The sequence below is a fragment of the Homo sapiens genome, chromosome 17 (genome assembly GCF_000001405.40).
Source record: "Homo sapiens chromosome 17, GRCh38.p14 Primary Assembly".
Classification (NCBI taxonomy): Eukaryota; Metazoa; Chordata; class Mammalia; order Primates; family Hominidae; genus Homo; species Homo sapiens.
In genome coordinates, this window is record NC_000017.11 from 56,236,418 (window position 1) to 56,259,013 (window position 22,596).

The 22,596-nt window shown below is 37.9% G+C and overlaps 1 protein-coding gene and 1 long non-coding RNA gene across 12 annotated transcripts in view; both read left to right on the top strand.

Annotated features, from left to right (window-relative positions):
• Nucleotides 1-22,596, top strand: part of ANKFN1 (ankyrin repeat and fibronectin type III domain containing 1) — a 470,940-nt gene that overhangs the window by 190,341 nt on the left and 258,003 nt on the right. The gene's annotated exons all lie outside the window — the stretch shown is intronic.
• LOC124904035 (uncharacterized) lies at nucleotides 17,314-21,942 on the top strand. Its single transcript, XR_007065856.1, has 2 exons — nucleotides 17,314-17,803; nucleotides 21,519-21,942. It is a non-coding gene; the product is annotated as an uncharacterized LOC124904035 (long non-coding RNA).

The window sequence follows — 22,596 nt, forward strand, 5'->3', positions numbered from 1 at the left end:
GCTGTATTCCTAGATATTTTATTCTTTTCGTGGCAATTGTGAATGGGATTGCATTCCTGATTTGAATCTTGGCTTGTCTGTTGTTGGTGTATAGGAATACTAGTGGTTTTTGAACATAATTTTGTATCCTGAAACTTTGCCGAAGTTGTTTATTAGCTGAAGGAGTTTTTAGGCCAAGACTATGGGGTTTTCTAGATACGGAATCAGGTGGTCTGCAAACAAGGGTAGTTTGACTTCCTCTCCTCCTATTTGGATGCCCTTTATTTCTTTCTGTTGCCTGATTGCTCTGGCCAGGACTTCCAATACTATTAGGTTGGTGCAAAAGTAACTGTGGCTTTTACATTTACTATAATGGCAAAAACTGCAATTACTTTTGCACCAACCTAATACATTGACTATGAGGAGTGAGAGAGGGCATCCTTGACTTGTGCCAGTTTTCAAGGGAAATGCTTCCAGCTTTTGCCCTTTAAGTATGATGTTCTCTGTGGGTTTGTCATGGATGGCTCTTACTATTTTGAGCTATGTTCCTTCACTGAGAGTTTTCAACATGAACTGATGTTGAATTTTATTGAAAGCCATTTCTGCATCTATTGAGATAATCATGTTGTTTTTGTCTTTAGTTCTGTTTATGTGATGAATACCATTTATTAATTTACATATGTCGAGCCAACCTTGCATACCAGGGATGAAGCCTACTTGATTGTTGTGGGTTAGCTTTTTAATATGCTGCTGGATTTGGTTTGCAAGTATTCTATTAAGGACGTTTGCATCAATGTTCATAAAGGATATTGGCCTGAAGTTTTTGTTGTTGTTGTGTCTCTACCAAGTTTTAGTATCAGGATGATGCTGGCCTCATAGAATGAGGTGGGGAAGAATTAGTTCCCTCTTCAATTTTTGGAACAGTTTCAGTAGGAATTGTACCAGCTCTAAACACCCACATCTTTTACATCTCTTTGTACATCTGGTAGAATTCTGCTGTGAATTCATCTAGTCCTGCCCTTTCTTTAATCGGTAGGCTATTTATTACTGATTCAATTTTGGAGCTCATTATTGGTCTGTTCAGGGAATCAATTTCTTCCTGGTTCAGTCTTGGGAGGGTGTATATGTCAGGAATTTATCCATCTCTTCTAGGTTTTCTAGTTTCTGTGCATACAGGTATTCATGGTAGTTTCCGATAGTTATTTTTATTTCTCTGGGGTCAGTGGTAACATCCTCTTTGTCATTTCTAATTGTGTTTATTTGGATCTTCTCTCTTTTCTTCTTCATTAGTCTAGCTAGTAGCTTATATATCATTAATTTTTATAACAAACCAACTCCTGGATCTTTTGGAATGGTTTTTTTTTGTGTCTCAATTTCTTTCAGTTCAGCTCTGATTTTGGTTATTTCTTGTCTTCTGCTAGCTTTGGTGTTGGCTTTCTCTTGCTTCTCTAATTCGTTCTGTTGTGATGTTAGGTTGTTAATTTGAAATCTTTCTAACTTTTTGATGTGGGAGTTTAGTGCTATAAATTTCCCACTGAAGGCTGATTGAACTGTGTCCCAGAGATTCTGGTATGTTTTATCATTGTTCTCATTAGTTTCAAAGAACTTCTTGGTATCTGCCTTAATTTCATTACTTACCCAAAAGTCATACAGGAGCATGTTGTTTAATTTCCATGTAATTGCATGACTTTGAGCAATTTTTGTAGTCTTGACTTCTATTTTTACTGTGCTGTGGTCCAAGAGTATGTTTGATATGATTTCAGTTCTTTTGCATATGCTCATTGTTTTATGTCTAATTGTGTGGTCGATTTTAAAGTATGTGCCATGTGGTAATGAGGAGAATGTATATTCTGTTGTTGGGGACAGAGTTCTGTTGAGGTCTATCAGATCCATTTGGTCCAATGTTGAGTTCAGGTCCTGAACATTTTTGTCAATTTTCTGCCTCAATGATCTGTCCTCAAAAATACTGTCAGTGGAGTGTTGGAGTTTCCCACTATTATTGTGTGCGAATCTAAGTCTCTTTGTAGACTAAGTCTCTAAGAACTTGCTTTACGAATCAAGGTGCTCCTGTGTTGAGTATATATATATTTAGGATAGTTAGACCTTCTTATTGAATTGAACCCTTTACTATTATGTAATGCCCTTCTTTGTCCTTTGTGATCTTTGTTGGTTTAAAGTCTGTTTTGTCTGAAATTAGGGTAGCAACCCCTGCTTTTTTACTAATTTCCATATGCTTGGCAGATTTCCTCCATCCCTTTATTTTGAGCCTATGGGTGTCATTATATGTGAGATGGGTCTCATGAAGACAGCATACCATGAGTCCCTTGTATTTAATGCAAGTTGTTTAACTGTAAGTTTGAATAATTTAATTTGTAACAATTATTGTGTTTAACGAATAGCTTACAAATTCTTGAAAATCTGACAATTGCTCCCCGGCAAACTGGTACAAATCTAGCATAACACTGGTCCTTCCTCTTTAGAGAGCAGTGAGGGTAGGAAGTGGGAAGAAGAGATTGGGATACGATTGTGAATATTAAGTTGATTTTTTTTCTCAAGTTACAATTTTTAAAAAATCTGTTTTAGACTTTTGCCAAGATCAGAGACAATCTCCTAAGTCTTCAGCAGGCAGTTTCTACCATCCTTGCCATGAAAATGTTTTCATCTTTAGTATTGATTATGATTCAAAGATTTCATCATTCTATCTTTTCTAAATAATTTTTTAGACTACAAGAATCACAAGTTAAAGAGAATGGGGAGGAGAGGATTGTAAGATATAGATATTTAATGAAATCCACAAATAGAAAAAAATGTTTAGTTGCATCATATTAATCTGAACTGCAGAGCTCCATAAGAAATGGAGAGAGGTTGGTTAATGGCTACAAAAATACAGTTAGATAGAAGGGAAAAGATCTAGTGTTCAATAGTGAAGTAGAGAAAGGTAGTTCACAATAATATGGTGCAATAGTTCAACATAGCCATAAGCTAACAATTGAAGTGTTCCCAACACAAAGGACAAATGTTTGAGATGATGGATATCCCAGTTACCCTGATGTGATCATTACAACATTGTATGCATGTATCAAAATATCACTTTCACTCCATAAATGTGTGCAACTTTTTAAATGTATCCACTTTTTAAAAGCTAAAATACATATTTTTTAAAAGGAATCAGAGCTGCTCTCTTCTCTCTGGGGCCTCATGGTATCACCTACCTCTGTTGACCAGGCCAATCTATTTACTCTCCAGATTGCATATGTCCCAAAATGGCAGCTACAGGCATCAAGGATTAGACATTTTCGCTCCTCTTTCCACTTGGGAAACCCACAAGGATTTCTAAACTCCGAAGAAAAAAAATTCACATGGTTCAAGTCTTTTTTCTTTGGCAGGCTACTGGTCAGCATACAAATGGGGTTCCTCAGATTGAAACACTTCTGGTTCCATTAGATGTGACTCTAGCAGAGTTGTGGGAAGGGATAGGGTCAGAGGAACATCCAGGACTATGGGCAAGGACAGCTTACACATTCGGGAGCTGTGAATAGAAAAACATAATGATTGACATTTTTAGCATAGTATTCATAGGCTTTTTCATTAAAAAGAAGAAGCATTATGAAATATTTCAAACATAGAGGAAAATAATATAATGAGTAACTATGTTTTGTCATGCACATTTAACTAATTTGAGTACATCAATTTTTGGTTCAGATTTTTATAGATTTTAAAGAAATAAATTACTTTAAATATAATTAAGTCTTCATATGCCCCCTTTCCTGGTCTGATTCTGCTCTATCATTCTCCCACAAAAAAATCACAATCCTGTATGCTTATCCTTGTTTTTCTCTATCAGTGAGCAATATCCGTCATTGCTTCATAATTTTTAAGTTTTCATAAATGATACCAAGCCATATGTGCCATTCTGTATTTTTTGTCAGTCAACATTATGTTTTTGAGATTTATCCAACTGAACATGTGGGTATGATTTGCTATTTTATCTCTAGGTAGTATTCCATTGCATGAATATATTGCTATTTTCATTCATTCATTCATTCTATTGGTGAAAAATTAGGTTGTTGCCAATTTTTGCTATAAAAAAATACTGCAATGATTATCCTTGTAGCCTCATGTACCTGGGCAGAATTTTCTCCAGGATACCAAGATGTAAACTTATTGGATTATAAGGTATATATCTCATTAATATTACCAGATAATGCCAAATTACCCTCCTAGGGTTGACCAGTTTACATTCCTATGAGCAGGTCATGTAAGTTTCGGTTTCTCCAAATCTTTGCCAACATGGGTTATTTTCAGACCTCAAAATTTTTCTTCAATATGATGGGAGTAAAATGGTGTGTCATTTTTCCAGTTTTCAATTCCCAAATTTCTAGTGAAATTGAGCATCTTTTAATATGTTTCTTGGTCATATTTTTGTGAATTGCTTATTCACATATTTTACTATTTTTTAATGAGTTACTATTTTATTTTTATGGTTTTGTATAAGTGAATTATCTCTTCCATTTAGTAATCTATTGTATGTTATATGCAAATACATTTTCCAACTCTGTTTTTGGCCTGTTTTTTTTAACTTTTTGTAGAATAATTTTAATTATAGAGACATTGACATTCTAACATAATCTATATTTTTAAGATTTTCATTTAAGACTTTTTAATTTCCTACTTTGATGATGTAAAGATATGCTTCTGTACACTGTTATGTAAGTTTTAAAGTTTTGATTTCACATTTGTGTTTTTTATCTATATGAAAGTTACATTTTCTGGAGGCTGAGGCAGGAGGATCACTTGAGCCTAAGAGTTCAAGTCTGCAGTGAGCTATGATTGTGCCACTGCACTCCAGCTTGACCAACAGAGTGAGACCCTGTTCTAAAACAAACAAACAAACAAATAAAACAACAAAAAAAAGAAAGTTACATTTTGTATGCTGTGAAGTAGGGGGTCTAACTTTATATTTTTCTTGCAGAAAATCAACTCATCCAGCATGATGTAACAAATAAATAGTCCATGATTTCCCCATGGAATTGCTATGCTATCTCTATCATGAACTTGCTTTCCATATGTCTGGATCTTTTTCTGAGGGATCTACTCTGTTCAAATAGTCTATTGATCATTGTCTGACCCAAAGGCACATTCTCTTAAAATACTGTAGCATTAAATTACAGCAATCTCCCCTTATCCATGAGGAGTAAGTTGCAAGACCCCTAGTGGATGGTTGAAACTGCAAAAAGTACCAAAACCCATACTATATATACTATGTCTTTTCCTATGCGAGTGTACCTATGATAAAGTTTAATTTAAAACTTAGGTACAGTAAGAGATTAATAACAATAGTAAAATAGAACAATTAAAACAATATGCCACTATCACTAGTCTTCTGCTTTGGGGCCATTATTAAGTAAAATAAGGATTACTTATAAACATAAGCACTGCAATACCATGGATACTCAGACAATGAATTTCATAACCAAGATGGCTATTAAGTGATTAAGGGGCAGGTAGCATATTCAGTGTGGATATGCTGGACAGAGAGAGGATTCATGCCAGGCTGGGACAAAGTGGGATGGTGTGAGACTTCATCACCGTACTCAGAATGGTGTACCATTTAAAATGAACAGTTATTTATTTCTGGAATTTTTCACTTAATACTCTTGGTATACTGTTTGACCGCTGTTAACTTAAACCACAGAAAATGAAACTGTGAGTAAGGTAGGGCTGCTGTAATTTTTCATAGCTGATAGGACAAGATTCTGTACCTAGATCTTTTTCTTCACTATTACCTATATCTTCTCTGTCTTTTAATTTCTTGTGTGACTTTTAAGATTGGTCTGTCAATTTCCACAAAAATCTCTATAAGAATTTTGATGAAATTATATAGAATTTATATTCAGGAGAATTGGCATCTTTGTTATACTGTACTATTCCGTCCATGGGTATAACATATTGTATAATATACTTAATCTTTTATAAACTTTAAAAATGTTTTATAGTATTCTCTACAAAACTCTGAAACATCTTTTGATATATTTATTAGTATAGGTTTTTATGTGAATGATCTTTATTCTATACTTTTAAAAATAGTTATTTTGCTATCTAGGAATACAATTGATTTTCATGTTTGATTTTTAATGCAGCAACACTACTAATCTCTCTAATTTTTAATGTATCTGTAGATTATTCAAAGATTGTCTACAATCATATACTCTACAAATAAGAATAATTTTGTATCATGCTTTCTAAAATTCTTTGAGCCTCTGATTTTGTTGGTTTTATTGCATTGCCTTGGGTCTTTAATTCATGTTGAATACCAGGATAATGACAGCCATTCTTGACTTGTCTCGGACTTTAGTAAGAATTTATTTAAAATTTCACAGTTAGGAATAATGTGTGCTGTATGTTTTTTGTTAAATGACTTCTATTAGGTTAAGAAAAAGTCTTCTCATTCCTTGTTTACTAGGATTTTTTTAAAAAAACATGATTGTGTATTTAATTTTATCAAATCTTTTTCTGCCTCTATGGAGATGATGCTATGATTTTGTTCTGTGTTCCTTTCATGTGAAATATTCATAGATTTTCTGACGTTAAACTATTATTGCATTCTTGGCATAAACTCTACTTGGTAATGCTTTTTTAAAATGTATTGCTATACAATTTGCAAATGTTCCATTCAATTTTTCTCATTTATGTTCACTTGTAAGAATAGTCTATAATTTTCTTTTGTTGTTGTGGTTGTCATTATGTTCTTTTTTACACTTATTTAGCATTGAATTTCTTTGTGCTTTGGGAATTTTATGAATATCTTACTTTCTTTGAGACTTTCCTCTCTTTCTCTTCCTCCCTCCATCTCACTCTCCTTAGCCCTCCTTATCTAAAGATTTTGCTGTTGCCTCTACTGAGGGCCTCACCCAAGACTGCCAGTCCAACAATACCTTTAATAGGGGATTATGCTCCTGCTCCATGGTGATATTGGGAATATCCAAGAGCCAAGCCTCCAAGCTAGTGATAGTTTGGCTCAGTTGCTGCCTGTAAGGTGAAGCCAGTGTTTCCAGCCTTCCTGGGCCACAACTCAATAGTCCCAAGGACAGCGAACTTTTTCTGCCTCCTTTGAGAAACTGAGAAGACCTACATTAACTCCTGGTTTCAAGTAGTAAGCCCATCTTCAGATACCTACTTAATATGAAGCATTTTTACTTTGTAGTAAACTACAGTTGCTAAACTCCTAGCCCTCCCTAATTCTAGTCCTTCCTAGCCCTGATTCCAGATGGAAGCCCAGGTGGCTAAGGGCTTCACCTTCACCCCCATCCCATCCCCTGTTTATCTCCTTAGTTTTCGGTTTAACTTATGATCTGTAGAATGATGTATACACGCACACATACACACATACAGGCATGCATTTTAAATCTGGAATTAGGTTTAATCTCCAAATGAACTAAGGAGTGTTTCAAGAATGTTAGGTTTTTAATTAAAATTAGAAATCTATGTAATTATCATGTTCTGTAGTTCTGGGCCTTTGAAGACATTTTTAGTTAAATGAAACTTCATTGTATTGGGGTGGAGAAGCCAGTTAGCCCTAGTTTAGCCACAGACCCTCAGGAACTATCAGGGGTGGGGAGTGGAGGGGGTCACTATGAAAGCAGGAAGGTGGAGATAGGGTGCTGTTTGGAGAGAAGTTCTGAGTGGCATACATAGAATGTGGCATGTGGCAGAAAAGGAGTGGTGACTATAAAATACTGTGTAAGTGATGAGCTTTCTTTCTCTACTCATATCTTGTAAACTTCAATACATTAATTTCAAAAATATGTATCAACATGTACTATTTGTCAGACACTGTGCTAGGTGAAGTCAATAAAAAAAGACAAGACAATGCCTATTCCCTTAAGGAGCTTATATTCCAGTGGAAAAGGTAAAGTGAAGATAGGGCAGAATAGCTGTAAGGGAATATTTCCTCAGTAAGATTTGACATAGCATTCCCTGTGTGCTGGTACCCAAAGTCACATGCCTAGAAGACAGGACTAGGTTCCATGACTCAAAGTGATCACATCATGAACTTCTCAATCTTCAACTCTCAGGGTCCAGCAGCCAAAGGAGAGAATGAAATTACTCAGCTTAGAAGGGTTTTCTCAATACCAAGATATGAGAAATCTGAATGAGTGAGTGATGTTACCATTCATCTTTATGTTTTTTGGATTTTTGTGCTTGAAACTATATGCTGAGTCATTTCATGAATCCAGGCAGGCTGCATATAGCCAGCAGGTAAGGAATGAGCATTGCTGGTTCCAGACAACCTCAGCAGAGCAGTTAGAGCTGTACTTACTAAGAGTACCAGCAGGGTATAGAGCGTAAAGAGACCAAGCTTCCTAGAATTCCCATTGTGGCTCTCTGAAGCTTGTCCCAATTTGCTCCTCAGTAAAATAGAGAATTTAAGCCACCGCTTTGTGTTTGGAAGGGTTTAATTTAGACAAGTATCACTCAGATGGCCATTTTTTTTGTTCCATTCAAATTTCAACACATTTCCTTAGTCTTTGTAATTAAGGTTTTTCTAATTTCAACATATGTTTCCCAAAAGAGGCTTTCAATAATATTGAATATATGAACCATACATTGCTTACTTGTCTGTAGCCCCTTGAAATTTGCTCCACATTTTTTGGATGTAACTCCAAAAAACCCTATTTTTATTTCAAATTCTTTATATTCAGTAGTCTATTTCTGTAATAGACAAATTTAACTGTGTGTCATTCTGGAAAATAAAAACAGCTAAATCATGTGAGAAATGTTATATGCCTTTCCACACAATGATCCTTTACCAGGCACAGGAATCAGTGGAGGATCTGAACCTGTGGTTCCTCATGTAATTGATTCCCTGCCCTTTATAACTCTCATAAAGAGCTTGTCAGGTAGACAGTGAATCTAGTATTTAGAGGGTTTTTTCCTTTGTTTGTTTGTTCTAACATCATGGCACCTCAACAGAAGACAACTACTTTATCTGGTTCTCACCAGTGATCCTTCCTGCCACACTTCTGCTGGACTTCTTGAAAGATGGTTCTGTAGTGTACTTTATGGGTGATTTAATGAAATTTCACTGCTAGTTTTGACAATTGATTATTTTTACCTTACATGCTAACTTTAAACCCTAAATCCCATATGAACTGTGACTTGATAGCAATTCTAAAATTTCATCAGTAATATTTTAAAGCTGATAGCAAACACTTATAGTAATACTGTTTTATCTGGATAAAAATTCATTTATAACGTTTTAAAGTAGAAACATTCTAGTCCTCTTTAATTATGTCATTAAAATGAAGAAGAAACAGAAGTGGAAGCTAGGAGACACTATCAAGGGAAAAGCACTTTTCTGAGGAAACCAGAGAGTCCTACTTTGACATTTCAACACAGACCTTCAGGAGCCCTGCTGGTAATTGGTTTTTGTAGCTTTGTTATAGCACTAAGTCATGTTTTATGGACTCTTTTAATAGGAGAGCTTTGTTACAATGTATTAAAAAAGAAGACAAAGACAGGTAGCATCAATCTACCAAAAGGTCAAAGAGAAAAAAGCAGATGGACCTCTTCCCCTGAATCAAGTTAAAATGGTCCTGCCTATCAGAAGATAGCATCTCTTTATAGACACATATATATAATTTTTCCAGAAACAGGCACCTGCAATCAAAGTTCCTCCTTTCTATAGTTCCACACCACCACTGCCTCTAATCAGATGAGTCAGTAGGAGTTACAATGTGATTCCAAACTGCAACCGAAATATAACTTGGGATACTCAGAGGTCTTCTTCCTAATTTGCTTGTTTGGAGCAAGTCTGACTCATTCACAGTATCATGGGCAATCACTTCTTGGCCTTTTGGCTATGATCAAGTGTAGTATCATGGGCAGCGGCTTAGTGAGGGTTGAACCGAGAACTTTTATCTGTTCATCTCCTAAGAAAATAATCTGCTCTATTCCCTTCTGTGAATAAAAAAGAAAGAAAATAATATGTTCAAAGATATCAAGTCCCTAACAGATACATTATAATATTAGCCATTGACCCGCTTTTGTAACTAAAGTTAATGGCTACAGCTCAGGCTATGCGTGTTGGACCTATTTGGTTTCTAGCCTTTTCTTAGTATTTTCTTTACAAACTCCTTGTGCAATTTTTTTTCCCTGGTGGAGCACATGCCTTGAAGGACTTAGCCTACTAAGTAAATAGTTAATTAACAATAAATGTTATAATTTTTATTAATCAAAACTGGAAATTGCCAATCAGAACTTTGATTTGGCTGATGTCATATGTGAGTTGTTACAATTCCATAAAAAAACAAAGAAACTTCACATTTTCAATTAGATTTAAAAAAAAAACGCAGGCCATTTCCTTTGATATATGTAATACATAACTAATAATTATGATGTAATCTGGTACGTGAATGTTAAAGGGTAGACATACATGTTGTAGGGGAGTTTCTATTCAGAGAAACTGAAAAAGCATTATAAAATTCCCAGTTACATCTTCCCTTTTATGTACAAGCTTCAAGCATCAATTACTTATCCCAGAGTTCTGTTTAATTTTTCTTTACCAGAAAACACAGTTAACTAGCTTATGTCAAAAGAACATCAAGCTGAAGTTAAAGATCTGTTGCTTTCAACATGTAGAATGGTTTCCTTCTTAAATCTGTGCTTATTACTAGAATCCTATCTATCATTTTTTCATTTTCCATTCATTTTTATAAAATAACAACAAAAATACAATAAGCTACTCAGATAATTGACAAATAAACGCTGCTTTGCAGAAAACATTGGCATTGCCGTGAAATCTGATTGGCAAGCAGCACCACATAAAGAAAACTTGAAATGGTTCTTTGATAAGCTAAGGCACAAGTCTGAATTTGACACAGGAAAGGAAATTTAGGGATTTAAATGTATAGTATACAAAAATACAGGTCATTTGAAAGTTAAACTTTTAAAACTTGAGCACCACATGTATTGGAAGTAAGACACAGACTTTTCACAGATATTTCAGGCCTTGGGCTAACAACCCTAGGTAAAAACAAACAAACAAATCAACAAACAAAACGAAGATAAATACTTCAGAGTGATGCAAGTAGCTACATAGTAGAAATTTATTGTTTTGAGCATTTATTAGGTGCCAGGCATTAAAATGAGTATTTTATACCAGTGATTTTTCCTAATTACCTGATTTAATCCTATCAATAACACCACAAAATAAGGATTACATTTTATAGAAGAAATTGAAGGTCAAAGAGGAATCATTTTGCCCAAGATCACATGTAACTAGAAAATGGAAGAACTAGAATCAAAATCAAGTCTGAGACCAAAACCCATGCTTTCTTCCACACTGACTTGCCTCCTTCTTAAGATTGTCTATTAAAACTAAATAAAATTGTTACATTTCCCCAGACTTCTAACTTCACCTTGGTATGTTTTCTTCAAAGCCCCATTCTAGAAAATTTCTTAGACAATGGTTAGCAGGGTCCTGTTTGTTGCCTATATCAAATGTATAAAAAGCAATATTGTTTTAACTACTGTTAATTCTGGAGAAGACTTGGACAGAGCAGTGTCTTCCAATCAGACTTGTCTAAACAACATTTGAATGCAACACATTGTCATTTCAGAAGAAAATGATGCAATTTACTTAGTCGTCAGCAACCATGAGGTCTTCAGGAAGACAGATTAAAAGAAGTAACATTGCTGGAGCCTGGCCTTTTGGTCCATTACATCATTGACTCTTCACCATAATCTTTTAGGTAGATATCATGATTACCATCCCACAGATGGTCTTAGAGAAGTTAACAAGATCAAGTTAACACACTGGGTACTTGAACCCAGCCTCTGCCCTTAGAGGCTCACCTCATGATACAGAGTATGAGAAGCCTTGGTGCATGCACCTGCAGAGAGAAGAAGAGGTAATAGACCTCTTCTCTGGCAGATGTGTGTCCCTCTACTACCAAATATTGCTGTTGTCTCATGTTCCCCCAAAGTTTGTTCTGCTTCTCATTCATTAGTATACACAATCTCATAGTTTCCATTTATTGTACAACAGTCTGTGCCAGTTACTTGACTATGTTCCTAATGTATATTATGTCTGGATAAATATTTGTTGAATGAATATAAGACTTTATACATCATTTAATGATCAGAACAATATTATGAGGCTTACATTACTATTTTCACATAGGTGGAAGGCAGAGGTGAATCGAGGCCATGCAGTGTGAGTAGAGGATCTGGAATTTAAGCATCTACCAGACCCCAAAGCCTATCCTCTGCCCAGGAATGACTCTACGCAGAGATTACTCTTAATGGAGATTTTGCTTCTAGGCTCTGAGAATTAGATTTTATTACATTTGGTTTGGAAATCTATTTAACACTTGTCATGGTTTCCCCAGAAGCAGATCCTAGGGGAAGGATGAAAGTACATGTGGTTTATTAGGAGGTGATCCCAGGAAACATGAGTAAGAGAGTAGGGAAGTGAGTGACAAAAGGGAAGACAGCCAAAAAGGTCCATTATCCAACAAATTCACATTGTGAGCAACCAAACTTAATCCGGCTGGAGTGACTAGGACCAATTGCACAGGGGAGGTGGTGAGGAGAACACTGTCATGTGGAAACAGCTTAGAATAGCGCTGAAAAATTCCAGGTCACCTACAGTTTGGTTAGAACAGCTCGGGGTATCATTCAGCAAGTAATTTACCTATAGTGAAGATCATCCTAACCTTTGAAATTTTCCTAAGAGAATGTTGTTGAAAGACATAAAAGAAACTCTGAAGTATGCCTGCAATCCCAGCACTTTGGGAGGCCGAGGTGGGCAGATCACCTGAGGTCAGGAGTTCGAGACCAGCCTGGCAACATGGTGAAACTTCATCTCTACTAAAAGCACAAAAAATAGCCGGGCATGGTGGCAGGTGCCTGTAATCCCAGATACTTGGGAGGCTGAAGCAGGAGAATCGCTTGAACTTGGGAGGCAGAGATTGCAGTAAGCCAAGATCGCCCCACTGTGCTCCAGCCTGGATGACAGAGCAAGACTCTGTCTCAAAAAAATAAAAAAAAAAAAGTCAAATTAATTTCTCATCTGCAAATTCAAAGGAAATCTAATAAAAATCCCAACAGGATTATTCATAGGACTTGATAAACTCATTTGAAACTCCATATGGAAGAACAAAAGTCCCAGAATAGCCAAGACAATTTAAAAAATAAAATAAAGGTTAGGCAAACTTTCTATGAATAGACAGCTAGACTTACCAAGTTGCAGCCATTAAGGTAGTATGTATTGTCCCAGGGATGCTGGACTAGGATAGAGATCTCAGACATGGACCCATAGAGGGCCCTGGTAAACAAAAGTGGAGGTCATGAGACATCAGTGGGGAATGGTAGATTGTTCAGTGCTGTGGATCTGTTGGTTTTTTGTAAGGAGGTAAATTAGGAGAGGATTTTACTTTTTCCCATATAGAAAGCCAACTGCCCCACCTCACTGATGGAGATGTAGTCACTGGGGCAGTTTCCAGGGCTTCTGGATTTTCTGCTGCACCATTGTTAGCATTATTTCCAAGGAAAAAACAAACTTCTGTGGAATGGTGTTACTGTACACATTTATACAGTGGTTGAAACAAAGGTAAAGACGTTGGAGCCCCACTTGCTTAGCTTCCCCTTGATACACCCACCCCCAGCATATCCATAGGAACAGAGGCCCATTTTCTCATTAAAAAATGGAGCAGAAAAGACAACAATAACCCAAGGATACTCCCTTCTGTATTTCCTTTGGAAACTTGGAGTCCAAAAAACCCAGTTTTACTCTTCATTTAGAATCCAGTGTTGAGATACACCTATTTAAAACATTCCATGGACCCTCCTCTCGTATATTTTGTCCACTTCAAAATGCATGGCAAGTAAGGCTTCATCTTACATGAGCACTACAATCCACTGCAACAGTGGTTCAAATGATCCTAAAGCCACAGCGCAGCTATTGAAAAAGAAGGGCAGAGTCATGTCTGCCATAGGCACACTAGGGGAAGGTGATGGCATACTTGCCAAGAATTTATCCTTCTTTAACTGACATGTTCCTATCCAAAAATAAAAACATGATTATTACATCATTAACCCAGGGAGCTTGATATTAATATTGAAAATAGTAAATCACTATCAATTTCTGCACACAGAGTATTTTTTCTTAAAGCATCTATGCCACACAAACTAGATCTATACATCATATCACAGCTCTTCTTAAGTGATGGGAAAAGGGTACCCTCAAGAGTTAATTGCCTTGAGCAAGCCAACAGTTGATTAGGAAATATGGTGTTCAGCCCAAGGTTTCCCTTCTCAGTACAATAGACCATTATGTATGACCATTTTTTAAAATGGTATAACTATCATTGATTATCATCTGAAGCTTTATTACTTTTTAACAATTTGGACAATTTTTCCCATGCAGGAAAGTTGGAGGACAAGCTAAACCCATCACATCATTTTATTTATTGAGTGTATTTATACTTCAACTCTTTCCAGAAACAAGTTGAAACTGCTTACCACAGAGCCAGATATAATCTCGTTAACAGCAAAATAAAGATTGGTAATTTTTTTTTTCCCAAAGAAAGCTAAATTGTATTTAGTCAGTATTTCTTTAACTGGTTTCCTTTAACATGAGAGCTATGCATAGCTTTGCAATGGCATAAAATAATGTTTCAGCTGTCACATAGAAAAAGTGCTTCTGAAGGCTGACCACAGTGGCTCATGCCTATAAACCCAGCACTTTGGGAGGCCAAGGTGGGCAGATCATTTGAGTCCAGGAGTTCGAGACCAGCCTGACCAACATGGTGAAACCTCTGTCTCCACTAAAAATACAAAACATTAGCCAGGCATGGTGGCACATGCCTGTCATCCCAGCTACTAGAGAGGCTGAGGGATGAGAATCACTTGAACTCAGGAGTCAGAGGTTGCAGTGAGCTGAGATCACACCACTGCACTCCAGCCTGGGCAATAGAGTGAGACTCTGACAACACAATATCTGACCCAAAGAGTAAAGTAATAAATGAAATCTTATTAAAGTGCATGCAATTGGTTTTCTTAAAAATGAAGCCTCTGTTTGGGGCAGGTTTTTTTCTAAATAAGCCAACATTTGACTTAATTGCACATAGATCAGGAGAGACTTTTGTGAAGCAGCTAGCAGAGTATGTGAATCTCTCCCTACTCAAAAGGTTTGTCCCCATTGTCCAAGGTTCCAGATTAGGCATCCACCTCAGAACTGCACAGTGTTTATTTTTACTTACTTGTTTTGATGGTAACAACCAAGCATTTGACCTCATCTCATTTGTTTTGATTCCCACTCCAGGTGAAATTTGAAAGCTAACATGGAAATGCATGTTCTATCAGGAGAGTTAAAAGAAGAGAAAAAAAGTTACCAATACTCCTAGCCTCTGTAAAAAGAGATCTCTGAGACCCTACAAAAGAATCCTAAATTTGAAAAGCTATTCAAGAATGTATTCATCCACTCATTCATCCTTCTATCTATTTAGTAAATGCTTACTGCATGCCTACTCTCCTTAGGATATGGAGAAGGATGAATTGCAGAGATATCTGTTAGAATATAAACTCCCTAGAAGGTGCCAAGCTGGCTCAAGGCAATTAACTGTCAGATATTTATTTGTGAATTACAGACTCTGGCTTAACCACGGAATAATGGAGGATCATAAGCTAGCTTCCATTTGCTATTCAGAGCCTTTGTGAGTTGATTATATCTGCTCAGAGAATGCAAATTCCTTTATAAATCTAAGGTTGTGACTACTGAAAGTAACTTTCATCATGTATTTCCACTTCTTCATTCTATAGCTGAAGAAACAGAAGACCTGGAGGTAATAAAGTGATTTGTTCAAGTTACACAGCTAACCAATGATGGAACCAAGACTAGAATTCTTGGTAATATGCTCTTTTCACTACAGAGAAAATGAGGGCATAAAATCTGCAACATAATTATTTAAATGTATTTCTAGTCCAGTTGCATTTATTTGTTTGCTTGTTTGGTTTCCTCCTACTTCTTACAAGTTTCTTCTTTTAAATTTTAAATACTTACAGTGTAATATGATAAAAATAATAATTGATGGACCAGGTATGGTGGCTCACACATGTAATCCTACCACTCTTGGGAGTCCCATGAGGGAGGATCACTTGAGGTCAAGAGTTTGAGACTAGACTGGGCAACGTAGTGAGACACCATCTCCACAAGTAATTTTTTAAAATTAGCTGGGCAGGGTGGTGCATGCCTGTAGTCCTGGCTACTAAGGAGAGTGAGGTGGGGGGATTGCAGTATAATAAGATAATTGAAATACTTACAGTATAATAAGATAAAAATACTTACAGTATAATAAGATAAAAATAATAATTGATGGACCAGGTATGGTGGCTCACACGTGTAATCCCACCACTCTTGGAGCCCCACGAGGGAGGATCACTTGAGGCCAAGAGTTTGAGACTAGACTGGGCAACATAGTGAGACCCCATCTCTACAAGTAATTTTTAAAAATTAGCTGGGTAGGGTGGTGCATGCCTGTAGTCCTGGCTACTCACGAGGGTGAGGTGGGGGGATTGCTTTAGCCCAGAAGTTTGAGGCTGTTAGTGAGCTATGTTTGTGTCACTGCATCCAACCTGGGTGACAGAGCGAGACCTTGTCTTCAAATAATAATAATAATTGATGTAATCTAGAGTGAGAAAGAAGAGTGAGGAAAATCAAGTGAAGCAATAGGTAGCTTTAGTAAACTAAATGCACTGAAAAAGTTCTACACAGTTGCTAAAAATGGGCTACCAATTAATGCTGTACTTCCTAGCAGCAGAGAAAGGAAGAAAACATAAATTTTGGTTGGCATCAAATCAAAAGAGTCTAGACTCTCAGAAGAAATACAACTGCTCTCACCCTAAAGCCTCTATGAAATTTCTCCATTAGGGCCTCAGAAAAGACATTGCTTCTATTAATTCAGCAGTGAATTCTGACAGGTTGTTTCCTGAGCCATTCTGAAGGCCAGTGGGTGTACAATGCCCAGGACAATGAAAACATCTGGACAAGAAGCCAGGCCGGGCGCAATGGTTCACACCCATAATCCCAGCACTTTGGGAGGCCAAGGCAAACAGATCATTTGAGGTCAGGAGTTTGAGACCAACCTGGCCAATATGGTGAAACCCCATCTCTACTAAACATACAAAAATTAGCAGGGCATGGTGGCATGCACCTATATCCCGGCTATTTAGGAGGCCAAGGCACGAGAGAATCACTTGAACCTGGGAGGCAGAGATTGCAGTGAGCCGAGATCACCCCGCTGCACTCCAGTCTGGACGACAGAGTAAGATCTTGTCTCAAAAAAATAAAAATAAAAAGGCCAGAACATTATGAGTCCAGGTGTACAGCTCACTGAGGTCCCAGCTTTATTCAGGGCTATCCGGGATAACACTTACACCACCTAGAGCAATAATAAAGGATTTGCTTTGATTGGACTATTGGAGTGTGCCCAGACATTGTATTTTGGGTATTTACATATGTATCTTCATATCTTCTGTGTAAGCCCTATTTATTATCTCTTTAAACTGAGTTTTTAACAACGACTGTGAGATGGAACATTCAAGGTTATAAAGGTCATATATTCTGTCAAGAATTTGGGGAACAAATATTCAGTATTGCTGAAATTTTTCTAATGCTGACCCCAATAGCCTTTTATGAAAATTAATGTTTTACCAGAACAGAACATGCGTCAGAAAATGCTTAGAGGAGCAAAGGCAAATAAAACAATCCTTCAGCACACTGGATTTCTGAACCACTGCCCCATTCTCACCATTATCCCAGGTAATTGGTAATTTATACTATTCTGGAGCACTGCAATGCCAAGAGAGTGAGAAGTGTGAATGTTTTTACCAATTTTAAAGTTATAACAATGAGATAGTGCTACATGGCCAACGGGAGCCTAAGTGTAAATGAACCACTGTGGTTTTATGCATTGAAAGTTACAACAAAGCTGCCCTGTTGACATTGTCTGAGTGTACCTTTCATTATCTAAGGGTGGTTAGTTGTACTTACCAGATTTTGTGAATGACTGTGCTTCCTTTCCATAGCCAGGATGTCCCAGTATGTCCTTTCCCTTGGTTCTAGCTCCATATCTGCTTTCCTCTGGCATTTCCAGCAGTCTAATTTCCCTAGCATTCATGCTGATTCTCTGAAAGAAACAAGGGTCCTCTTTCTGATTCCTTTATAGCAGAGATTCTCAACCCCTAGTGCACATCAGAATCACCAGGGAAGCTTTGAAAAAGCCCTCCATCCAGGTTGCATTGACCTCAGCCACTCTTGGATGGAACTTTCACAAGACAGAGGTACAGCAGAGACCAGGAGAGGACACCATGAACATGGGCCCCAGATCCCTGGAAAGAAGGGATAGTGAGGAGGGAGGCTGATGAAGGAGTGAAGGACCTGTGCTCTAGAAGGGAGGAATGTAATTCTGTAGCCATGGCTGCAAATATATGGCAACCCCCAGACACAAAGAACCCTGCTCTTTCACCCCTTTCTGCACATCCTGCCTCCAGCCATCAGACCAGTCTGGCCTCTGAAATCCATTAACACTAGACTTAAATGACTGCTGTCAGAGAAGGTCCAAAAGAGAAAGAGTGAGCAATGAGACAACAAACCCTTATAGAAAGGACTGAGGGTGGGGACAAAGGTAGCCATGGAAGGAATTCCTCCATTCTAAACCAGCCTTGACCATGGCCTTGCAACTCTTGGACGATTCCCTTTTATGCCAGCCCTGTGTTGATGGTGTTTTGGAGAAGATGGTACTGTTGGTTGTATCTCCACAGTCCTTGAACCAGGGGCCCTCAAATATACTGGAGGGAAGATTGGTGGCTTGGGATGCAGAGGGGATAGAGTCAGAAGTAAGTCTCAGCTTTTCTCAGATTCCTCCCTATTTTGAGGCATAGCGCAGGTCCCAACACCTAGGAGTAGGATTTATCCCTCTCTGCCAGCACAATCCCCTAACCACAGAGGTTTGCCCCCACAAAAGACAATCATTACTCTCTTTAGACTCAGGCAGTGTGGGAGGGATATTCCTTGTGAGAAACAGACTGGAAAAATGAAAATGAAAATACTGCATTTCCATCTTTTCCTTGGCCCCATAAAGAAGTCACAGTTAATGGCATACATTTAGAAGTGGTTATTTTTTAATGGAAATTTTATCTACATGTTACCCTATGAAAATGTGGCCTGTTTACAAAGCAAGAAGGTCAGTGTGGCAGTGTAACCCAATCATGCTTTGTAAATGAGTCAACTTTTCACTGGGCTATTATATATCGCACAGCATTTACACACGCTTGTTAAATGTTAGACATTCAAGACCATCAAGTTTAAAACGTTTGGGTACCGTGATTATATTTTATCATTACTTGTTAAGCATCCATAATCTAATATTAGGAATTTATGTAGGAACTGGAAAATTACCATGGAGAAAACTCATTAGAGATAGAAATTTGGGGCTGGGTGCAGTGGCTCATGCCTGTAATCTCAGCACTTTGGGAGGCCAAGGCAAGAGGATTGCTTGAGACCGGGAGTTCCAGACCAGCCTGGGCAACCTGGCAAAACTCTATATCTATTTTAATTTTAATAAATAAATAAAATATAGAGATAGTAATTTTGCCTGAAGAAAGAATGTATCATGAGCTGAACCCTGCCCCAAGAGTGGCCATTTCCACTCTGAATTCCTTCATTTTCTAGCAATGTACATCACCAGTGCTAGAGTTAGTCTGAGAACAGCTGTGAAGGAGTTAGGAAAGATTAATGAAAACATTTTCAAAAACTCAAGTCAAGCCATTTTATTGGGAAATGGGAAAGTATTTATTTTAATCCCTTGTTTGTGAGCTTGGAAGGAAATAATTATTTGCAAATTGTGGAATAAGAACAATGTAATATTTCTTTCAGTCTCTCAAAACTCAGGCATTTTCCTCATGGCAGACAAAAGCCTATTCTTGTCTAGTTCTCTGTCCTCATAAAAGGAGGCTCCAGTGTGCGGGCTTTGCTTTTTCATGGTGGAGAATTATTTGGGGTTGTGAAACCTGGAGTAAAGAACAGAAGAAGAAGAGTCTCACATTTTGAAGGTGTAAGAATTGTAGGAAGTGAGGGGGCAGAAAATGAGACTGCTAGCTGACAGTTTTCTTTTTCTGAATGATAGCTTTAGGTCACATGCAATGATTAATTAAAATAAACATTTAAAATGTTAGAAAATAGTATGTACCCCATATTAAGGACCAATTATGAAACAAGCCCTTTATCTATTATACACAAGAATATTTATAACAAATCTACAGAGTGGCTAATATCCTCCATTTTACAGATAGAAAATTAAGTTCACATATATAATTACCAGCCTAAGGCCATACATCTAGAAAGTGACTCATCTGGAATTCAAACCCAAGCCTAGCTCTCTTACCAAATACTACTATCCCCTGATATTATCAAGAGTCACTAAAGGAAGTCAGGTGAGAATGGATCTTTATAATTATTTGTCTACCCATTCATTGATTCATTCATATTAGTCCCAGATTGCCTAACAGCAACATCACAGGCTTTGTCAAGTCTTAGACCTATCACTCGCTATCCTGGTGACCTTAGTGAAGTCACTTAACTCACTTAACTGTGGGTTATTGATTTAAAATAGCAATATTGTGATGGGACCAACTTCAAAGTGTTACAGTAGATTAGTGAAATGATCATTTGAAGTCCTTGGTTTGGTGCCTGGTATAGTAAGAACTCAATAGTTTTTATGTCAATGGTGGTGGTGATGACAATGATGATAATGCAGTGGTACTTGGAGTAGAGATGTCATTTCTCTACTAAGAAAAACCGACACTAGAGGGCTAAGTTAATGATCAGAGATCCTAGAATCCTGGAGCCCATAAGCATCTATAGGAGTCACTGTTCCTTGCCTTTGGCTGCAGATGGAACTGCAAACAATAGAGCCACATTAATGTGATGTGCTATGCATCTGGTTATTCACTGGCCCTTCAACATTAACAGTCTCTGTCTTGCTCATACATCTGGAAAAAGAGGGCAAATCTCACAGGCTCAGGCCCTGCAGACACCCAGATGATATGGTGGTGGGAGCATTTTCCAACATTCTCCACACCAAACTTAGCTTCTCTCCCAGGACGGTGCCCTCTCAGAACCCTTGCCAGTTTACTCACAGTCACCGACCCTCCAGGCTACGGGGAAATGAGGACACGGGGCCTGTTCAAGGGACTCCCTCTCAGCAGCCTTCATCCAGGTGTTTAGCACAGTGGAAACAGACAGCCATAGTTTCCTTTGGACAATTCGAGAAATTATTATTAAAGGGTGTGACACCCTCGATCTAGAAAACAGGTTGCCATAGGTTTTCTCAAGCAGTATTTGGAGCTCCAGGAGAGGATTTTGGAACCAAAGGGGAAACATGTTGGTTTCTTACCTGGCGAAGTCCTCTTCCCTCTCTCTAACCCCTCCACCTTCTAAGAGCACGTTGTCAGCTGCTCGCTCTGTCCCTATTCAGATGCTGCCCTGGAAGCCTCACTGTCATTACTCCACTTAGAATATGAGAAAGATCTCGACACTAACACCAGCTTCTTCAGCAGATTGATGACGTGGCTGCTAACAGGCTCTTCTCTTGGAGGTTTTCAATTTCAGCCAGAGTAAGAAGAGCTGGATAAGGACTTACAAATTCAGTTCCTTCTTCTTTCCATGTTCACTTGCACATGATGATTTTATTAAAGTGATATAGCATTTTTATTTGCCATGAAATCTTCATTCCACAATTTAAATGGGCTTCTGATGGCTTTACCTGTTAGGTGAACTTTTAGGAACTTTCATGACCCATGGTCTAAACTAGAAATGTTCGCCCTCTACTCTAGCTTAAAAATTGTATTTTAAAGACAGCACTAGGCTCTTCATGTGAAAATAAAGACAATATTGTAAAATGGTTGCTATGATGCTATTTTTTTCCTCTAAATTATGTCAATTTTGCTTTCACATTCCCATAAGGTGTGAGGGTTTGATGCTGGGTTCCACGTTGGGAAGATGGTGACAACACGCACTTTCTGCCACAGACCTGTGTGCACCTGGAGCCTGTTTACCACTGGGCAGAATTTGGAATAAGGGGCTGGTAGAGACGCAATACTTCAGGATACATACAAATTAACTGGCCCACAGCATCTAGTACTGGCATCTTTATTAATAAGATGGTAGAGGTCAGGCGCGGTGGCTCATGCCTGTAATCCCAGCACTTTGGGAGGCCGAGGCGGGCGGATCACGAGGTCAGGAGATCGAGACCATCCTGGCTAACACGGTGAAACCCCGTCTCTATAAAAATACCAAAAAAATTAGCCGGGCATGGTGGCGGGCGCCTGTAGTCCCAGCTACTCGGGAGGCTGAGGCAGGAGAATGGCGTGAACCCGGGAGGCGGAGCTTGCAGTGAGCCAAGATCGGGCCACTGCACTCTGGCCTGGGTGACAGAGTGAGACTCCGTCTCGAAAAATAAATAAGTAAATAAATAAATAAATAAATAAATGGAATTAAATGGTACAGGTGTTCCTTTGCGCTCATGAAATTTCCAAAGTATTAGAGATATAAAG